This window comes from Homo sapiens, chromosome 14, assembly GCF_000001405.40.
Source record: "Homo sapiens chromosome 14, GRCh38.p14 Primary Assembly".
Classification (NCBI taxonomy): domain Eukaryota; kingdom Metazoa; phylum Chordata; class Mammalia; order Primates; family Hominidae; genus Homo; species Homo sapiens.
In genome coordinates, this window is record NC_000014.9 from 21611773 (window position 1) to 21632929 (window position 21157).

General features: G+C 41.5%; 1 pseudogene, 1 gene segment (V, D, J or C) and 1 further gene, besides 5 other annotated features; 2 read left to right on the forward strand and 1 right to left on the reverse strand.

Moving 5' to 3' along the window:
- UBE2NP1 (ubiquitin conjugating enzyme E2 N pseudogene 1) lies at positions 1-672 on the reverse strand (annotated as a pseudogene).
- Positions 5913-6415: an enhancer, noted in NCBI's record as "H3K27ac-H3K4me1 hESC enhancer chr14:22085839-22086341 (GRCh37/hg19 assembly coordinates)". NCBI's record gives its function as "activates a minimal SCP1, AML or CMV promoter by ChIP-STARR-seq in naive H9 embryonic stem cells {active_cell/tissue: H9 hESC(naive)}" and the evidence as "EXISTENCE:reporter gene assay evidence [ECO:0000049][PMID:30033119]".
- Positions 10132-10174: a sequence feature (TRAV1-1 leader sequence).
- TRAV1-1 (T cell receptor alpha variable 1-1) lies at positions 10132-10795 on the forward strand. The segment is given in 2 exon segments: positions 10132-10174; positions 10513-10795. Coding segments are annotated over 2 exon segments (326 nt in total), but the record flags the coding sequence as incomplete, so codon positions are not given.
- Positions 10132-21157, forward strand: part of TRA (T cell receptor alpha locus) — a 930229-nt gene continuing 919203 nt past the window's right edge.
- Positions 10513-10520: a sequence feature (TRAV1-1 leader sequence).
- Positions 10803-10825: a recombination feature (spacer).
- Positions 10826-10834: a recombination feature (nonamer).

Consider the following 21157-nt stretch of genomic DNA (forward strand, 5'->3'; position numbering starts at 1 on the left):
TTTTCTTTTGCATTTAATCACCTAAGGCTGAAGATATCTGGGCTTTTTTTGTTCTGTAATGTTTCTAAGACTGTGTCCATTAAATGCAAACAAAAATAAGGAAGTCTTGGCAGAACAGGAGAAGCGATGCACACTTGGCGATTGGATCAATTTAAATATTATTCATGGCATATAGCCTAGTCGCTGCTCTAGCTGTTTCTATGGCTTGGGCTTCGTGGGTCTTCCATGTCTCCACTACATCATTTGCTAATGGATCATCTGGATTGGGAGCACTTAACAAGGCCTGGATCGATAGCAGAACTGTCAGATCTGCAGTGCTGGGGACCACTCATCTTTCAAAATATCTAAACATATTCTTCCCAACTTGTCTACATTAGGATGATAAATTTTGGTCATGAAACGTACTTTAGGGGCTGCCATTGCTTATTCTTCTGGAAGGAACAGTTCAAGTTTAAAAGTCCTTCCCTCAAAGGGGGAATCCTGAGGGCCAGCAATGACCACATGAAAATAACAGGTGTTGCTCTCACGTGATTCTGCTTGGATGCCAGGAACTCCTTCTGCCAGCAAATGCTGGGTGTCCTTGATGATTCTACGGGGCAGCCCAGCCATCTTGTCAGAACCCGAGTTCGACCTCTGGTCCCGTCTCCGGCTCCACTCCCCTCAGGCAGGAGTGGAAGTCCTGGGCTGGCTTATTCATTTCTAGAGGTCAGTATAATTGCAACATTCTATAGAAGGGAAAATCCAGCAACCTATTTTTAGTAGAGAAGTCTGGTGATCTTTGGCCACATGATGTCACTGGTGGTACAGAAGATTTTTTGCCATCTCTGCCTCAGTGCCATGGGCAAGTTCCCTCCATCAACCTAGTCACGACCTCTTATTGTTCAAATGTAGGCAGGATGTCTTTCTCCCCTCACTGCCATGGCCATGCTGTTTTCCCACAGCCACCACAGCCTGGGCTGCCATTGCCACAGCTCCTCAGTGACCTGGCTCTTCGGTTTAGCTCAGGTAAGTGTAACCCTCTTCCAACAGAGCTGAGTTTGGAGGCCTGCCATCTCACCCCCCGACATTGTTCCTGGAAGCATACGTTTCCCCCTCTCTGAATCCAGGCTGTTCCTTTCTCCCTCATCTAATATTTATTCTCATTTCCCATTCTAGCATCACCACTATCTCTTTTGGGAGAGCAAAACCTCACTTACATAAAAAAATTGTATATTACTCATAATATATCTTATACATTTTACCCACATCTTTTCTATTTCCGTGATTCCTTCTATGCCAGAATCCTTCAAATATTACTTAATATTCACTGTTTTGACTTTATCTCTTAAGTTTAGTGCAGTAGGATTTTCCTCGTCTTCCACTTGCACAAAACTTTCATTTTCAAGATCATCAGTGACTATACATATACACACAGGTATTTATTTGGGGAAGAAATGGTTTAGTCCTACCTCATCTTCAATAAGTTTATAGTATAGTGGGAAGAATATATTAACTACAGGTTAGAGTGGGACCACAAAGAAGAGTGAAGTTATGTTTGCTGATGGTTTTAGTGGAATTAGAGGCAGAGACTAGAGAAATTTCACGGAGTAGGTAGCCCTGTGCTCCTCTTGAAAGATAAGTAGACAGGGAGGGACACTTCAGCAGAGGAAAAAGGGAGCAATAGGTGGGGTGCTTGAAGCCGCCCTGTGTGAATGGGGAAAGGCCATTCACACCAATCTGCAACTCAGAGTATCTGCAGTATAGGTTAAGTGGATTTAAGTGATACATAGTTGGAATTTTATATGATGGAATAATAATCTGCCCTTACTTTGTAGGGGCTGGGGAGCCACTGAAGGCTTTAAGTAGGAGAATGTCACAGTCAAGTTGAAATCGTACATTGATCACTCGTGTATCTGTTTAAAAGGTAGTTTGGAATAGAGATAGACTATGGTGAACAACACTGATACTCTGCTAGTATAAGATCCCTGGCCGGGCGCAGTGGCTCACGCCTGTAATCCCAGCACTTTGGGAGGCCGAGGTGGGTGGATCCCTTGAGGTCAGGAGTTGGAGACCAGCCTGGCCAACGTTGGTGAAACCCTGTCTCTACTAAAAAAATACAAAAATTAGCTGGGCATGGAGGTGGGCACCTGTAGTCCCAGCTACTTGGGAAGCTGAGGCAGGAGAATCACTTGAACCTGGGAGGCGGAGGTTGCAGTGAGCCAAGATTGGGCCATTGCACTCCAGCCTGGATGACAGAGGGAGACTCTGTCTCAAAAAAAAAAAAAAAATTTAGAATCAAAACAAAGCTTAAAAACCATATAGTCCTTTAGTTGTCTCATTCTACAATTGATATGTAAATCTACAGTAGGTAGCAAAATTCCTTATAAGGCTGTGTTCCTATATCCAAAACCAGGTTTTTTTCCCAAAAGTTGTTCAAAATAAGAGTAACCATTGTTAAACAAATAAAGCCCCACTACTATTAATTTAGGCTAATGCAGAATCAAGTGGTCTAGATGAGAAGCAGTGTGATTACAAATCTACCCCTGCAATTTAGAGCATTTGTCCTGGTGGCTCCCAATTTGAAGCTCATATATTTGAATCACTGTGTGTTTTCTCTGTCCACAGACATCCAAGATGTTTCTCTCTCCACTGGCACTGACTAGAGCCTCTCAGTGAGACTCAGGTACATGTGACTTGACAAACAGGTTCCTCCAACCCCTCAAGAAGAATTAACAAGTGCTAATCACTGGAAGCACACCCAAGGAAGGGGGCTCATATAAATAGTGGTAAGAGATAAGAATAAGAAGGATTCCTTTTTTTTTTTTTTTTTTGAGATGGAGTTTCACTCTGTCGTGCAGGCTGAAGTGCAGTGGCCCAATCTCCCAGGTTCAAGGGATTCTCCTGCCTCAGCCTCCCGAGTAGCTGGGGTTACAGGCATGTGCCACCACATCTGGCTAATTTTTGTAGTTTTACTTGAGACGGGGTTTCACCATGTTGAACAGGCTGGTCTTGAACTCCTGACCTCAGGTGATCTGCCTGCCTTGGCCTCCCAAACTGCTGGGATTAGAGGCGTGAGCCACTGCACCTGGCCTTGATTCTAAATTTTTATATTTATTATTTCAATTGGTTTTGGGGGGACAGGTGATGTTTGGTTACATGAACAAGTTCTTTAGTGGTAATTTCCGAGATTTTGGTGCACCCATCACCCAAGCAGTGTATACTGCACCCAATTTGTAGTCTTTTATCCCTCACCACCCTCCCAGCCTTTTCCCCTGAGCCCCCAAAGTCCATTGTGTCATTCTTATGCCTTTGCATCCTCATAGTTTAGCTCCCACTTATGAGTGAGAACATACGATGTTTGATTTTCCATTCCTGAGTTACCTCACTTAGAATAGTGGTCTCCAACTCCATCCAGGTTGCTGCGAATGCCATTATTTCACTTGTTTTTATGTCTGAGTGGTATTCCACGGTGTATGTGTGTGTGTGTATATACATATATCACAATTTCTTTATCTACTCCTTGATTGGTGGGCATTTGGGCTGGTTTCCTATTTTGCAATTGCAAATTGTGCTGCTATAAACATGTGTGTGCAAGTATTTTTTTCGTATAATGACTTCTTTTCCTCTGGGTAGATACCCAGTAGTGGGATTTCTGGATCAAATGGTAGTTCTACTTTTAGTTCTTTAAGGAATCTCCACACTGTTTTCCATAGTGGTTGTACTAGTTTACATTCCCAATAGCAGTGTAAAAGTGTTCCCTTTTCATCACGTCCATGCCAACCTCTATTATTTTTTGTTTTTTTATTATGGCCATTCTTGCAGGAGTAAGGTGGTATCGCATTGTGGTTTTGATTTGCATTTCCCTGATCATTAGTGATGTTGAGCATTTTTTCATGAGTTTGTTGGCCACTTGTATATCTTCTTTTGAGAATTTTCTATTCATGTCCTTAGCCCACTTTTTTTTTTCTTTTTTTTGAGATGGTGTCTTGCTCTGTCTCTCAGGCTGGCGTGCAATGGCGCAACGTCGGCTCACTGTAAACTCTGCCTCTGGGTTCAAGCGATTCTCCTGCCTCAGCCTCCCAAATAGCTGGGATTACAGGTGACTGCCACTGCACCCAGCTAATTTTTGTATTTTTTTTTTTTTGAGACGGAGTTCACTCTTGTTGCCCAGGCTAGAGTGTAATGGCATGATCTCGGCTCACTGCAACCTCCGCCTCCTGGGTTCAAGCGATTCTCCTGCCTCAGCCTCCCGAGTAGCTGGGATTACAGGCATGTGCCACCACACCTGGCTAATTTTTTGTATTTTTAGTAGAGATGGAGTTTCTCCATGGTGGTCAGGCTGGTCTTGAACTCCCGACCTCAGGGATCCACCTGCCTTGGCTTCCCAAAGTGCTGGGATTACAGGCATGAGCCACCACACCCCACCTAATTTTTGTATTTTTTAGTAGAGATGGGGTTTTGCCATGTCGGCCAGGCTGGTCTCGAACTCCTGACCTCAGGTGATCCACCTACCTTGGCCTCCTAAAGTGCTGGGATTACAGGCGTGAGCCACCGCACCCGGCCTTAGCAGACTTTCTGATGGGATTGTTTGTTTTTTTCTTGCTGATTTGTTTGAGTTCCTTGTAGATCCTGGATATTAGTATTTTGTCAGATGTATTGACTGTGAATATTTTCTCCCACTCTGTGGGTTGTCCATTTACTCTGCTGGTTATTTCTTTTGCTGTGCAGAAGCTTTTTGGTTTAATTAAGTTCCAGCCAGGCGCGGTGGCTCAAGCCTGTAATCCCAGCACTTTGGGAGGCCGAGGCGGGTGGATTACGAGGTCAGGGGTTCAAGACCAGCCTGACCAAGATGGTGAAACCCCTTCTCTACTAAAAATACAAAAAAATTATCCAGATTTGGTGGCAGGCACCTGTAATCCCAGCTACTTGAGAGGCTGAGGCAGAGAATTGCTTGAACCCGGGAGGCGGATGTTGCAGTGAGATGAGATCATGCCACTGCACTCCAGCATGGGTGACAGAGCAAGACTCCATCTCAAAAAAAAAAAAAAAAAATTAAGTTCCATCTATTTATCTTTGTTTCTGATGCATTTGCTTTTGGGTTCTTGGTCATAAATTCTTTGCCTAAACCAATGTCTAGAAGAGTTTTTCTGATGTTATCTTTTAGAATCTTTATGGCTTCAGGTATTAGACTTAAGTCTTTGATCCATCTTGAGTTGATTTTTGTATAAGGTGAGAGATGAGGATCCAGTTTCATTCTTCTACATGTGGCCAGCCTATTATCCCAGCACTATTTGTTGAATAGGGAGTCCTTTCCCCACTTTATGATTTTGCTTGCTTTGTGGAAGATCAGTTGGCTGTAAATATTTGGATTTATTTCTGGGTTCTCTCTTCTGTTCCATTGGTCTACATGCTTATTTTTATACCAGTACCATGCTGTTTTGTTTGGGTGACTATGGCCTTACAGTATAGTTTGAAGTTGGGTAATGCGATGCCTCCAGATTTGTTGTTTTTGCTTAGTACTGCTTTGGCTGTATGGGATTGTTTTTGGTTCCACATGAATTTTAGGATTGTTTTTCCTAGTTCTGTGAAGAATGATGATGATATTTTCATGAAAATTGCATTGAATGTGTAGACTGCTTTTGGCAGTATGATCATTTTCACAATATTGATTCTACCCATTCTACCCATTCTACCCATCCGTGCCTAGGCAGGTAGAGAAAGACCATCAGGTGGGGGCAGGGCTAGGCATGTCTGAGCTCAGACTCTCCTTGGATGGGGCTTGCTGCCACTGCTGCGGGGGGTGGAGGTGTGGTTCTCAGGCCAATGGAGTTATGTTCCCAGGGGGATCATGGCTCCCTCTGCTGTGTCACGCAGGTCTCCAGGGAAGTGGGGGAAAGTCGGCAGTTACAGGCCTCACTCAGCTCCCATGCAGCCCAAAAGGCTGGTCTCGCTCCCACCATGACCCTCCTTTCCCACTCGCAACAACACTGAGTTTATTTCCAGGCAGAGGGTGAGCAGAGCTGAGAACTTGCCCGGGGCTACCAGCCTCCTGGCTGAGAAAGCAAGCAGGGCTTTCAGGTTTCACACCCCCTGCCTGCCATGGCTTCTGTGCTGTGTCTGCGCTCCGATTCACCCCCTCCCCTAGGTTCTGTCCAGGAAACTTTGCGTTTGGTGGAAATTGTTACAAGGTTCAGCTGGAAGTTTTCTTCTCCCTATGGTCTTTTCCTAGTTCTTCTGGCAGCCCTTCCCAAAGCTCCTGTGAGACAAAGTTAGAAATGGCTTCTCTGGGGACTGAGGGTACCCAAAGGGCTCTTCCCACCTCTTCTTCTACCCCTGTATTTTGCTCAGCTCTCTAAATTTGTCTCAGCTGTATATGAGGTCAAATTCTTCTCCTGTGATTTGGGCCTTCAGATTCCCCAATGAGGGTGTGTGTTTGGGGGCAGATGATCCTTCTTTCACACTTTCACACTTTGGGCACTCACAGTTTTTCAGCTGTCTCCGGGGGCCTGCAGCAGCAACCCACTTCCTCCAAAAGGTCTGTGGATTATCTCAGCTTTCCTGGTATGTTTTTGTGGTAGTCCTTGGAGCAAAAGTTTATGATGTGAGTCTCCACACGCTGCTCTGTGCGTCCAAGTGGGAGCTGCAAGTTAGTCCTGTCTCCTATCTGCCATTTTTCTGAAGTTCTCTGGTCTGAATTCTTCAGTGCCTTCTCACTGCCCTAAGGACTAAGTCCAAACTCTCCAGCCTGGCTTTAAGGGCCACCTTGAGCTCTTTTTTATATTTTTGATAGGGAAAGAACATTTTAATCCTTGGGGGTGTGTGTATAAAATGGCAATGATATGTGGTGTCACAAGATGGCAACATTATATTTATTATATCCAGGTGCTATGAGCCTACTATGTGCAGTAAATAGAAAATAATGCTTTTAGTGGGTTCATAAGGATATAAATTGCCTTTGAAATTTTTTTTCTTACAGCGTGTTTATTTCTATCTTTATCCTAGTTGCATGCAGTTTATTTCAATTTTTTTCATCCCTGGCACTAAAAATTTAAGTTTCTCGTTTTCTACTAATTTTTATGAAACATGGGCAAAATGCACAAATAATGCTGTTTAAGGTGAGGAGGCAGGCAATACCCCCTCTCCACCGCATTCTCAATCCACCTACTGCTGCACCAAAGTCTGCTGTTGTACAAGCGACTGAATTCAGCATATACAAGTTATACTATATACTTACGAAAATCAAGGAGAAACTTAAGTCAGAATGGACCCAGCAGTAGTTTTAACACTTTTTTTCCCCATGGTGCAACAGTAGCATCAGTTTTTTTTTTTGAGACAGGGTCTTGCTTTGTTGCCCAGATTGGAGTACAGTGGCATGATTATAGTTCATTGCAGCCTCGAACTCCTGGGCTCAAGTGATCCTCCCTTGTTGGCCTCTTGAATAGCTGAAACTACAGGTGCCTGCCAACATGCTTGGATAATTTTTAAATTTTTTTGTGGAGACAAGGGTTTTTTCTATGTTGCCCAGGCTGATCTCCTTATATTGCCCAGGGTTCAAGTGATCTTCCTGCCTCAGCCTCCCAAAGTGGTGCAATCATGGCTCACTGCAGCCTTGACCTTTTGGGCTCAGGTGATCCTCCCACCTCAGCCTCCTTTGTAGCTGGGACCACAGGTGCATAACACCATGCCTGGCTAGTTTTTTATTTTTATTTTTTGTAGAGATGGGGTCTCCTTATGTTGGCCAGGCTGGTCTCCAACTCCTGGGCTCAAGTGATCCTCCTGTCTCAGCCTCTGAAAGTGCTGGGATTAAAGGCGTGAGCCACTATTCCTAGTCCTGGCCAATTTTAACATTCTTGATTCCATAGCTTTCTTTGTGGGAAGATGATTTTGACTCTGTGGCAAAAAGGAGCAGCAAAGATTTAAAATGCCAGTCAGACAGCAGGTTACAAAAGTTGAACTGTGCTCATGGCAGGACTCAGTAAATACCTTTTTAAAAAATATAGTACATTGATTTCAAGCATAGTGAGATTCTCCAACATCTATGAACATTGGTTCACGTAACATACAATTTATTCTTTTAAGGTATATTACTTAGGAATTTTTAGTATATTTGCAAAGTTGTGAATTGATTACTAGCTAATTCCTGAACATTTTTATCACTTCAAAAAGAAATCCCATACTCATTAGTAGCCCCTCCCTGTACTTACCCTGGCTCTCCCAGCCCCCAATTCCTGGCAACTGTTAATTAACTTTTTATTTGTATGGATTTGCCTATTCTGAACATTTCACACAAATGGAATCATACAATACATGATCTTTTGAGTCTGACTTCTTTCACAAAGCAAAATGTTTTCAAGGGCCATCCATGTTGTAGCATGTAATTAATACTTCATTCCTTGTAATGGCTGAATAATATTTCATTTTATGGATATACCATATTTTATCAGTTTATCAGGTGATGGGACATTTCAGTTGTTTACACTTTTTGGCTAGTGGGAATAATGCTGCTATTAGCATTTATGTACAAGTTTTTGTGTGAACATATGTTTTTATTTCTTTTGGATAAATACCTAGAATTCCTGGGTCGTATGGTAAATCTATGTTTAATGTTTTGAGGACCTAGCAAACTGTTTTCCAAGTGGTTGCACCATTTTAAATTTCCACCAGCAATGTATGAAGTTTCTAACTTCTCCACATTCTTGCCAACACTTGTTATTGTAGGTCTTTCTTTAATTGTAGCCATCTTTGATATTAAATAGTATTAATGAGAGGCCAATAGGTATGAAAAATAGGTATGAAACAATTTTGTAGACATAAGAAATTTCTTTCTGAGACATCTGATAAATAGTTTAACATATTGTTGAAGTTTCCATTTTTTCCTCTCTGTTTTCCTCCTTTTTTCTCAGATCTTTCTTCCTCTATTTTTTTTTTTTTTTGAAATGGAGTCTCACTCTGTTGCCCATGCTGGAGTGCAGTGGCCTGATCTCAGCTCACTGCAACCTCTGCCTCCTATGTTCAAGTGATTCTCCTGCCTCAGCCTCCTGAGTAGCTGGGATTGCAGGTGTATGCCACCACACCTGGCTAATTTTTGTATTTTTAGTAGAGATGGGGTCTTACCATGTTGACCAGGCTGGTCTCAAACTCCTGACCTCAAGTGATCTGCCTGCCTTGGCCTCCCAAAGTGGTGGGATTACAGGTGTGAGCCACTGCTCCCAGCTCTTTTTTCCTGTTATACCTCTTTTCTTTCCTTTAGTTTTTTAAAAAATTACATAATCAAACATGTCTATTTTAACATTAACCAATAGAGGGATGTACCAAAAAAAATTAACTCAACTCACTGCAACCCACTGCAACCCCTGACATAACCAATGTTAGTAGTTTATTGAGTATATCCTCACACTTTTAAAAATGTATGCATATGTACATAAGTTTATGATAAAAATATCATTCAATACTCATCACTCTGCAACTTACTTTTGAATATATTAAAGATTATTTCTATATTAGCTGTTGTAAGCACACTTAAATGGTAGGTAAATTTCCTTGTCTTTCTAGCTTCCAAAATATATATGACACACAAACAAACAATATTTAGTATATGCACACACACACTGCATCTCTAATTGATCCTGGATTTCATTTTGTTGTATCATGAGAAAGAAAACTGTTAGTATGGTCAAATTGATTAGTTTTGACTTTGCCTTATGTTCCCATTTGTTTTCTCTGTTCTTTACATGTTCGATGTTCACCATAATCACTTGGATTAAAATGTGTGGATTAGTTTTTGGAGATAGGGACCTCACCATGTTGCTTAGGCTGGTCTCCAGTTCCTGGCCTCAAGGGATTCTTCTACCTCAGCGTCTTGAGTAGCTGGGATTACAGGCATAAGCCACTGTGCCCAGCTTAAAACCTGTGGATTTATCAGTAGAAAATGTTCATGTAAAGATACTCCTGTAAGAGAAACCATAGCTGCTCCAGTGGAAGGAAGCTTAAACTCATCCCTTCAAGAAAGAAGCTCCTCCCTTTGTATTTCTACTGGGTTTTGCATCCGGACTGATCTTCCTTCCCTCACCCACATGAAGTGTCTACCTTCTGCAGACTACAGTGGCTCAGGAACCGGGGATGCAGTGCCAGGCTCATGGTATCCTGCAGCAGATGTGGGGAGCTTTCCTTCTCTATGTTTCCATGAAGATGGGAGGTGAGTCTCAATCTAATAGTAAATGCTGCTAGGAATTTTCAAAACAATTTCCTTTCAGCTAAATTATTGCAAATTTTGACATTTGTAATGAGAGTATTTCCTGAATATGCATTTTCCTAACGTGGTGCTAATTGTCCTCCTGTTACTATTGCTGCTGCTGTTACTGCAACCATTTATTTCAGTCTAAGAAATTCTCCCATCAATGGCAGTTCTTTTGTGACCACATGGAAGCATCATTTAAAAAATTATTCCAATAGTTTTTGGAGGAAACATCATTTTTAATAATGATGGGGCTTCTGGGGGTGCTGCCCTAGTAACAATCATGTATCTTGTCATAGGCACTGCAGGACAAAGCCTTGAGCAGCCCTCTGAAGTGACAGCTGTGGAAGGAGCCATTGTCCAGATAAACTGCACGTACCAGACATCTGGGTTTTATGGGCTGTCCTGGTACCAGCAACATGATGGCGGAGCACCCACATTTCTTTCTTACAATGCTCTGGATGGTTTGGAGGAGACAGGTCGTTTTTCTTCATTCCTTAGTCGCTCTGATAGTTATGGTTACCTCCTTCTACAGGAGCTCCAGATGAAAGACTCTGCCTCTTACTTCTGCGCTGTGAGAGACACAGTGACTATGAGGCCTCCTTAACTGTGCCAAAATTCAAAAGACAATCAGTGGAGTACAGGTGGGCTTGAGAAGTTCTAGAACTTCCTGAGTGTATCTTTGCTTACCGTCTAATTTTAAACTTGTTTAGAATATGTAGCATAGGGCTCTGAGACGGAACCCCATTATTTTCTGAACCATTGATTGCTAAAGAGAAGGATAAACTATTTTCTCTCTCTCTTTCTTCTTTAGTTTCTTCTTTTCCTCTTCCTCCTGCTTATTTATGCCTCCAGTATCCTGTGGTTCCACGTATGGAAGATGGAATTTACTTTTGGAGGAAGCTTTTTATACAAGGGAAGGATCCCTTGGTGAGTGCTTTAGTTTATGCAGTAGTAAGTTACATTAATATTCATGTATCCTTGGGAGGCTCTGAAATTTGTGAAGTAAATGCAAATTCCTCAGCTTGAGATAGTATGATTTCATTTAATTATGTCAAATATATCCTCATTTTTGTATTTACCTGAGTGATAATGTTGATATTATTTAGCATTTTTTGGTGGATTTATCCAACATATTGGAGAGTGTGGGGGCTGTGGACTTAGAGGGTGAAGAGAAGATCATGGAGAGCTCTTCTCTGTGAAACAGAAGAGTGAGGTCATGCGATGAGGTGGGGGTCAAGTGTGGAAGGAATTGGTCAGTAGGGAATTCCTGTAAAAGCACTGGATAATGGACAGAACAGTAATATAAAATATTCAGTTTAAAGATTTTCTTTTACTGAATTGTAATTTTTGTGTGCTATCCTAAATGTTTTTGAAGTTTGTTAAACATTACAGCCTACATAGTTTGTCCTTAGAGGGCAATGCAGAATTTCTTCCCCATAGGTGAATTATTTTTTGGCTTAGTACATTTATGTATGTATGTATGTATGTATGTATGTATGTATGTATGTATGTATGATGGAGTCTCGCTCTGTCACCCAGGCTGGAGTGCAGTGGCCCAATCTCGGCTCACTGCAAGCTCCGCCTCCTGGATTCACGCCATTCTCCTGCCTCAGCCTCCTGAGTAGCTGGGCCTACAGGCATCGGCCACCACGCCTGGCTAATTTTTTCTATTTTTAGTAGAAAGGGAGTTTTACCGTATTAGCCAGGATGGTCTTGGTCTCCTGACCTCATGATCCACCAGCCTCGGCCTCCCAAAGTGCTGGGATTACAGGCGTGAGCCACTGCGCCGACCTCTATTAGCTAATTTTTAATGACTTATTTTGGGGTAAACAGAATAAGAGGGACTTGGTGGTAGGGAGTAGAAAGGTAGAGTGGATGGTTTTCACTCAACAAATATTTTACTGAATACTTATATGTGCTAGGCACTCTTTCAATTGCTATGGTGCATCACTAAATAAAACATACCTGCACTGAGGTTGCTTATGTTCTTGTGAAGAGAGAGAGTAAGTAGATGTTTTAGCAGACTTTGAAAGCACAGGGAAAATACATTTGACCCTCAGAACTCAGCTTCATTTTCTTTAATAGGAAGAGAGCTGAGATGTATGTAAGCAATGCTGATGTCCTGTGCTTGTTATAATTTTATAATATAAATTAATCATCAGCTGAATAAGGGCTGTATAACATTGGATAGTTATAAGACTGCAAGTCAAGTTATCCAAAGAATCTCAGTCTTTCAAATTATTCAAATGTAGCTGTGTCTATAGTGGGACTCTATATAAAATCAGAAAGATACTGAACGTTTGAATGGAGAATCTAACACTGAGGCAAATGACCTTTAACATGTGAGTTATTTGTAAAAATGAAAAAAATTTCGAGTGCTTCATTGAAATCAAGAAGGAGATAAAGTCTAAAAAACTTTCAGCAAGGAGTGAATGGTCAATGGAAATGAACTATACAAAATCAATTATCTTAAATTTGAAGACGTGTAAGTTACTGATATTCTCCTTAATCAGTATGCTATCTTTTTATCTTTTTAATTTAGTGACCATGAAGAGTATCCGTAAGAACTTTTATAGGTTCATTTTGACCTTGTTTTCATATCTATTTTCTCCTAAAGTCTTAATTTTTTTTTTTGAGATGGAGTCTCACTCTGTCGCCTAGGCTGGAGTGCAGAGGTGCTATCTTGGCTCACTGCAACCTCTGCCTCCCAGGTTCAAGTGATTCTCATGCCTCAGCCTCCCAAGTAGCTGGGATTACAGGTATGCCACCATGCCTGGCTAACTTTTGTATTTTTAGTAGAGATGGGGTTTCACCATGTTGGCCAGGCTGATCTCGAACTCCTGACCTCAAGTGATCCACCCACCTTGGCCTCCCAAAGTGTTGGAACTATAGGCATGAGCCACCATGCCCAGCCAAGCCTTAAGTTTTTAGATAACATGTTTTTCTGCCACAGAGATTTTCAAGAAGAAAGAGTACCATTCTTTGTTACTTTCTCTCTCTGCTAGTAGAGTTTCTCTTTAACCCAGCAACTTCTTTCATTTCCACCTAGAAGGTGGTTGAATGCTAGATGTTGGAGCAAGCCATTACCAGAGGATAGGAGACAAGGTTTTTCGAATTATTGTAGATCAAACTGGGAACCCAGCTCTCTTGTCATGTTCAAAGAGCAGTAGCTGTGTTTGGACTTCGGAGTTAGATATTTCTAAGTTCAAATCCAAGCTTCACAGGGTGTTCAGATAAAATCTCACAGAATGAAAGAAACATAGGAAGGATTGGAAGGAATTTGACATGTATCAAATCTAACTATCTTCTACAATGTTTGAGTAAAGCTCTGATTTTTGAGCATCTCTTTGACCTTGTTTTCTTGAGTAGTTGGGGATGAGTCCAGCTTCAATGTCTCTTGCCTTGAGATCTTACCTTTGGAGCTTTTTATATCCCTCAGTTCGGGCAAGATAGAACATCCCATTGTCCAGTTATTTTCTAGTCCTGTGGTATCTGTGGAGTTTCCAGAGCCACACTGGTGCTCGGATGTCTGGAGCATGTTCTCACTGTGGAAATTAACCTCGCTTTAGTTCTAGTTCCTAAGGAAGATAACCAAGAGAACACAGGTGGAAGAAGCTTGCATCAAGAAGACTACACTCTATCTTGGAGGTGAACTGTTCACTATTACATACATAACTCAGGAAAACTTAGATACCTCTCTTGTTTCTTTTGGCTTAATGGTGGTAAATAATTTAGGTGTTACTGAGCCCTAGGTTATTCAATTGTTTCTTGTGGTTTCTCTACTCCCATATCTTTGTACATAGTTCCTATGCAGAGAAAACTCTCCGCAAATTATCATGTTTTGAGTAGGCTATCTATTGCTTTTTGGAAAATCAGCACCATCCATGTGCCTTAAGAGTGATTTGCACATGTACTCAGGGGTACAGGGAAGTGAAGGAGGTCAGTTGGAAGAAATACAAAAACCAAGATCTTCATTAAGAAGAGTTTAAAAATTTTGAAGGAATAGTTGGATCTTTTTCTAAGAAAAATCCTTAAGAGATTTGATAATATGAATTTGGATGGGAAATAAGGAGTGTGCTGTGTACCACTGGATTTAGGACATGAGCGCTGGAGGCCCAGAATGCACACATAACCCTTCTCAGGCAACCCTTGAGGCTGTGGTTTGGATACTGAACCAAGGGTAAAGGCACAGACAAAAGCTGACATTTTGAGGGATCAGTTTATGAGGTGGAGTAAAACTCTAAGCTGGACTCTGCCAGTACCCTTTTGAAACCCTGTCTTTTTTCCTAAATGAGGAATCTCAATTCCAGATAGAAAATGAGGACGAATGGCTCACGCCTGTAATCCCAGCACTTTGGGAGGCCGAGATGGGCAGATAACAAGGTCAGGAGTTTGAGACCAGCCTGGCCAATATGGTGAAACCCCGTTTCTACTAAAAACACAGAAATTAGCTGGGCGTGGTGGCGTGCACCTGTAATCCCACGTACTTGGGAGGTTGAGGCTGGAGAATCGCTTGAACCTGGGAGGTGGAGGTTGCAGTGAGCTGAGATGGTGCCACTACACTCCAGCCTGGGCAACAGAGTGAGACTCTATCTAAAAAAAAAAAAAAAAGAAAATGAGGACGAAACACAGCCTTGGTTGAATGTTCTGCCAGGCAGTGTTCTGTGTGGCTTTTGAGCAAGTGCAAGCACATAATTTTCCTATTTGTCATCTTTCTGAATCTCAAGCAAGTGCTTCCTGCCTGGAAGACATTAGTTCACATATTTGACTCACGTATACTCTGAATTTTAAGTGTATTTTGACTCTGCCTCTACAGTGGTTACCACATGCTTATCCATTATTTATTATTGAGTTTTATATGCATTTGTACTTTTCAACTGACCCATATCCAGCCATTGGTCATACATGAGCTTTCCCTTGGCTCTGTTCTCCTGGGCCAATTCTGGGCATGGACTTTTAAACTCACCTTCCCATTTTGACCCAGCCATTCCTCAGTTATCCCCTCAGCTGAAACTTGATTTCTGTGAATGCACTTAGTCACTGAGTGTGGGGAGGGAGGTGACTTGAAAAGCAGGTGCTACATCTCATAATTAAATTATGTAATCCTGGTACTTCAGAATCTCCTGGTCTCTGTTGTTACATTTCCTTATGAACTTCTGAGGGGATTAGGAAGTACTTCAGAACTTCCTTTCCTAGTAGGCATATGTTTCTTTTTTTTTTTTTTTTTTGAGATGGAGTCTTGCTCTGTTGCCCAGACTGGAGTGCAGTGGTGCGATCTCGGCTCACTGCAAGCTCTGCCTCCTGGGTTCCCGCCATTCTCCTACCTCAGCCTCCTGAGTAGCTGGGACTACAGGCACCTGCCACCATGCCTGGCTAATTTTTTGTATTTTTAGTAGAGACGGGGTTTCACCGTGTTAGCCAGGATGCTCTCAATCTCCTGACCTCGTGATATGCCCACCTTGGCCTCCCAAAGTGCTGGGATTACAGGGGTGAGCCACTGCACCTGGCCAGGTAGGCATACCTTTAAATAATACTACTGATTAAGAGAGGCCTGTGCATGTTTTGTGGCTAATAAGTAGGCAGAACTAGAATAAATAAGATTTACACTTACTGGTCTAGACAACTTACCTTGGGAATTGCAACCTAGGTTTGGGGACTTGACCTTCCAAGTCTGTGGACTGACTTGCAAACTAACCATACTTTTCGGCTTGCTAACCAAGTCTTGATCTGGAAAGTAAGATCTCCCCGAGGACTGTCAGATCTACTTGGGCAATACTTTTCAGTCTGCATTAGAATCACATTTTAAAATTCCCTATGCTTAGGTCCCATCCCAGGTCAATTTAATCAGAATTTCTGGTGATGGAGCCAGAACTATTTAAATAAAAGTCTCCCAAGTGATTCTAAATGAAACAAAGTTGGAAAACTACAGTCTCAAAAGATAAATTGGACTAAACCTCTAGAGTTGAAAACTCACCCAAATTTATTGTACAAGGGTCAAAAAGTGGCTGAGTGCCCCATCTGGGATGGTGAGGCAGATGAGGGGTTGCTGGTTACTAATATTGGCATTCCTTCCTTTCATTGTGAGTTGCTCTTATAACTTGCACCTGCTGCTCTCTAGCAACATGAGCCTGAGGTCCAATGTTAAACTGAGGCATGTGACACCTGTGCTCAGATCAGTGGGCACCCAGGGACCATTAAAGACTTTTCTTTCTTACACTCTTTGCCTTTGTGTTCCTTGGAGAAGAACTTCAAAAGAGCAAGCCCTTCCTCAGGGCCATCATGGTCATCTAAGGTTTAGTACACATTTTAGTAATGACACATTAAAGATAACTTAAATATACATTTTTTGAGGGATAAATATCAACATGAGGAATAGAGGACTCTTGGCCAGGTGCGGTGGCTCATACCTGTAATCCCAGCGCTTTGGGAGGCTGAGGCAGGAGGATTGCTATGGGTTCAAGATCAGCCTGGGCCAATAGTGAGATTCCTATCTCTACTAAAAAAAAAAAAAAAAAAGAACAGAAGGCTCTTAATTACCTGTCCAAGCTCTTCAGACAATCAAGACCAGTCCTTGTGGAGATTAAAAATTTCAGAAACTAAAAGTTTGTTATAGCTTGGTCATTGCTCTCATGAAGCAGCATAACTTGGTCCTCCTAGTGCTCTGTGAATGTGAAAATGAAAACTCTCTTTGTCTGTGCTTCTGTTGCTGTTGCTGACGTACTCTCCACTTGTCTGGTTTATTGATAATTCACTCTCCAGTATTACACTCCATCCTCTGGAGGGAATGATGGATCCCTTCATCACAAAATGTTTTCTGTATTTGCACTCTTCTATGATTCCCTGCTCATCCCTTAAGACAAACCCTTCTTTAAGTCCCGGATGATAACAAGAGTGATGATTGCAGCACTCTGTATTTATTAAGTGTCTACCATGTTTCAGAAACTTCACATTAGTTATCTTATTCAATGCTCTTAATACCTTGTATTGGTCCATTTTCATAGTGCTATAAGGAACTAGCTGAGACTGTATAATTTATGAAGAAAAGAGGTTTAATTAATTCATAGTTCCACAGGCTTAACAGGAAGCATGACTGGGAGGCCTCAGGAAACTTACAATCATGGTGGAAGGTGAAGGGGAATGACACATGTCTTACCATGGTGGAGCAGGAGAGAGAGACAGTGAAGGGGGAAGTGCCACACACTTTTAAACCATCAGATCTCATTAGTATCAGTTAGTATCAGTCAGTTTTCACACTGCTACACTTACTACCTAAGACTGTGCAATTTATGAAGAAAAGAGGTGTAACTGACTCACAGTTCCACAAGCTTAACAAGAAGCATGACTGGGAGGCCTCAAGAAACTTACAATCATGGCGGAAGGTGAAGGGGAAGCAACACATCTTACCATGGTGGAGCAGGAGAGAGAGAGCCAAGAGGGAATGCCACAAGCTTTTAAACCATCAGATCTCATGAGAACTCACACACTATCACAAGAACAGCAAGGGGGAAATCTGCCTTCATGATTCACTCGCCTCCCACCAGGCCCCTCCTCCAGTTTGACATGAGATTTGGCCAGAGACGCAAATGCAAACCATATTATGTCTCCTTTGAAGTAAGTCTTATTGCCCTTATTATATACGTAAAGTAATCAAGGTTTAGAAAGGATAGTTAATTTTCCCAAGGACACATAGCTGGTTGATGGCGGAACCAAGATTCTTCTAACAGACTCTAAAAGTTGTACTCTTTCCTTTTCATACCAATATATTTTTAAAAATGGGTAGATATGCTGAAAGTTTATCAGGTTTTATCATTAAAACCTGGGGTCACTGAAGTAAAGCTATCTTTCACTAACTATCTGTAAATTGATAGTCAACTATCCTGGGAAGTTAAGTGACCCGCCACCCTTAATATTTAGCATGAATCAATTTAATTAGTTCCTTTAGTTTCTTCAGACAAATGGAAGTTATCTTAAAGGGGATGGAATAAAGGAAGAAAGAAGCAGTTGTGCAAAAGGAGGTGGAAATAGGTCTCAGAAAGGATGCTGTTGAAATGAAGGGGCCCACTTTTTTTTAAATGAAATTGCTTTTTAATTCAGTTAAGAGAATAAAAGAGATGAAATATGCAGTTATATTTTCTTTTATACTTACCTACATAATTACCTTTACCAGCACTTTTTTTGTGTGTGTGCATAGATTCAAACGGTATTGTGTGGTGTCACTTGCTTTCTGCCTGAAGAACTTCCTTTATTATTTCTTGTAAAGCAATCTTCTACTAACAAATTTTTCCCTGCTTTTGTTTATCTTGAATGTCTTTATTTAGCCTTTATTTAAAACTAGCCTATTTTTTCCAGAGATTTAAAAGCTCACTTTATATTTGCTTTCTTTAACCTTTTATTTTAGGTTTGGGGGTACATGTGCAGGTTTGTTACATAGGTAAACTCGTATAACAGGGGTTTGTTGTACACATTATTTCATCACCCAGGTTAAGGCCAGTACCCAATAGTTATCTTTTCTGCTCCTCTCCCTCCCTCCACTCTCCACCCTCAAGTAGACCCTAGTGTCTAGTGTCTGTTGTTCCCTTCTTTGTGTTCATGAGTTCTCATCATTTAGCTCCCACTTATAAGTAAGAACATATGATATTTGGTTTTCCGTTCCTGGTTCCTCCAGCATGGATGGAGCTGGAGGCTATTATCCTTAGCAAACTAACCCAGGAACAGAAACATACATCTCATTCTTTTTTATGGCTGCATAGTATTCCATGGTGTTTATGTCCCACATTTTCTTTATCCAATCTGTCATTGATAGGCATTTTGGTTGATTCTATGTCTTTGCTATTGTGAATAGTGCTGCAATCAATGCACATTTGCTTGCATGTGTCTTTATGGTAGAATGATTTGTATTCCTCTGGGTATATGCCCAGTAATGGGATTGCTATTAAATGTAAATGGTAATTCTTCTTTTAGCTCTTTGAAGGATCGCCATACTGCTTTCCACAATGGTTGAATTAATTTACACTCCCACGAACAGTGTATGTGTTCCCTTTTCTCCATAACCTCACCAACATCTATTATTTTTTGCCTTTTTCATAATAGCCATACTGGCTCAAGTGAGATGGTATCTCATTTTGGTTTTGATTTGCATTTCTTTAACGATCAGTGATACTGAGCTTTTTTTTGTTTGCTTGTTGGATGCATGTGTGTCTTCTTTTGAAAAGTGTCTGTTCATGTGGGATCCAGGTTTCATACAGCAAACAGAAGCAAGCACAGGTGCAGCCTCATGTTTGTTTACATTGATTCAGAGTTTGAGCTGGTTTCACCGGTTTGACTCACAGTTTTCTTTGTTGAGGCTAGGTGAGTTCCTGCTAACGACTCTGTACCACACACACACAAATCACTCAGTATCACTCAAGATTAGTTCTGTTTTAATGATGAACTTAGCATTCATACATGTAATCCTAAGAGTAGTTATAGTTTGTGGATCAACTCACATATGACCTTAAGATCTCATGTCTTCTGACAAGAGCAATATGGCACATTGGCTTAAGTGCCGCATAGAAGACTTGCTAGACCAATCAGTGTCTTCTAGATTCTATTAGAAATGCTATTTTTTAAATGTCCAGTTGGAAATTTTCAATGGCTTGTTTCAAGATTAACAAATTATTGTGGACTCTGTACTGCCTTGCTTGTCGTCTCATACTATGTGTAACATGTATTATATGTATGCATAACATATAATATCCTTCCTGATATTATGGTGTTTCTGTATAGCACAGTGTGATTCTTATATCCACATTAATATATTTTTACCTTTACGAATTTTGAATCTTTCCATGCATTTGTTTAAATTTTACTGTTAAAATGGGCCAACATGATACCACACATCCAAAGAAGTGAAAAATATGCCAGCGAATGAAAGAATACATTTACCTTGTTTTTGGTTATTCACCAAGGAACTGTCCATGCTTGCTTTTAGGTTGCCATGTAGTTGAATCTTCTGTCTTCAGTTTCCCTTAAATGTTCTCTTTTTTTTTTCTTTTTTCAGGTGAGACCAGGACAGGTAATCGGCAGAACTGACAATAATTTCTTCAGTTTAAGATACATTTCAAGAGACTTTTGCAGTGCGGTTTAAATTCAGCAACAAATGGCCGGGCGCGGTGGCTCACGCCTGTAATCCCAGTACTTTGGGAGATGGAGGCGGGTGGATCACGAGGTCAGGAGATCGAGACCATCCTGGCTAAAACGGTGAAACCCCATCTCTACTAAAAATACAAAAAATTAGCCGGGCGTGGTGGCGGGTGCCTGTAGTCCCAGCTACTCGGGAGGCTGAGGCAGGAGAATGGCGTGAACCCGGGAGGCGGAGCTTGCAGTGAGCCGAGATCGCGCCACGGCACTCCAGCCTGGGCGGCAGGGCGACACTCCATCTCAAAAAAAAAAAAAAAAAAAAAATTCAGCAGCAAATATTGATTTCTGTGTCTGCTCGTAGTTATTAGGCAATAGAGGCAGACAAACACAAATGAATGCTTTATGTCCTTTGAGGGCTCACAATCCATTTGAAGTGGAAAGAGAGATAAATTCCTTTTTTTTTTAGACTTTTTTTTTTTTTTTTTTTTAGATGAAGTCTGGTACTGTCACCTAGGCTGGAGTGCAGTGGTGCAATCTCCGCTCACTGCAACCTCTACCTCCTGGGTTCAAGCAATTATCCTGCCTCAGCCTCCCAAGTAGTTGGGATTACAGGTGCATGCCACTATGCCTGGCTAACTTTTTATATTTTTAGTAGAGATGGGGGTTTCACTATGTTGGCCAGGCTGGTCTTGAACTCCTGACTTCGTGATCTGCCCACCTCGGCCTCTCAAAGTGCTGGGATTACAGGCGTGAGCCACTGCGCCCGGTAGGAGATAAATTCTTGACTGTAATACGTGACAGACTGGGGCAAGGTCTATACTA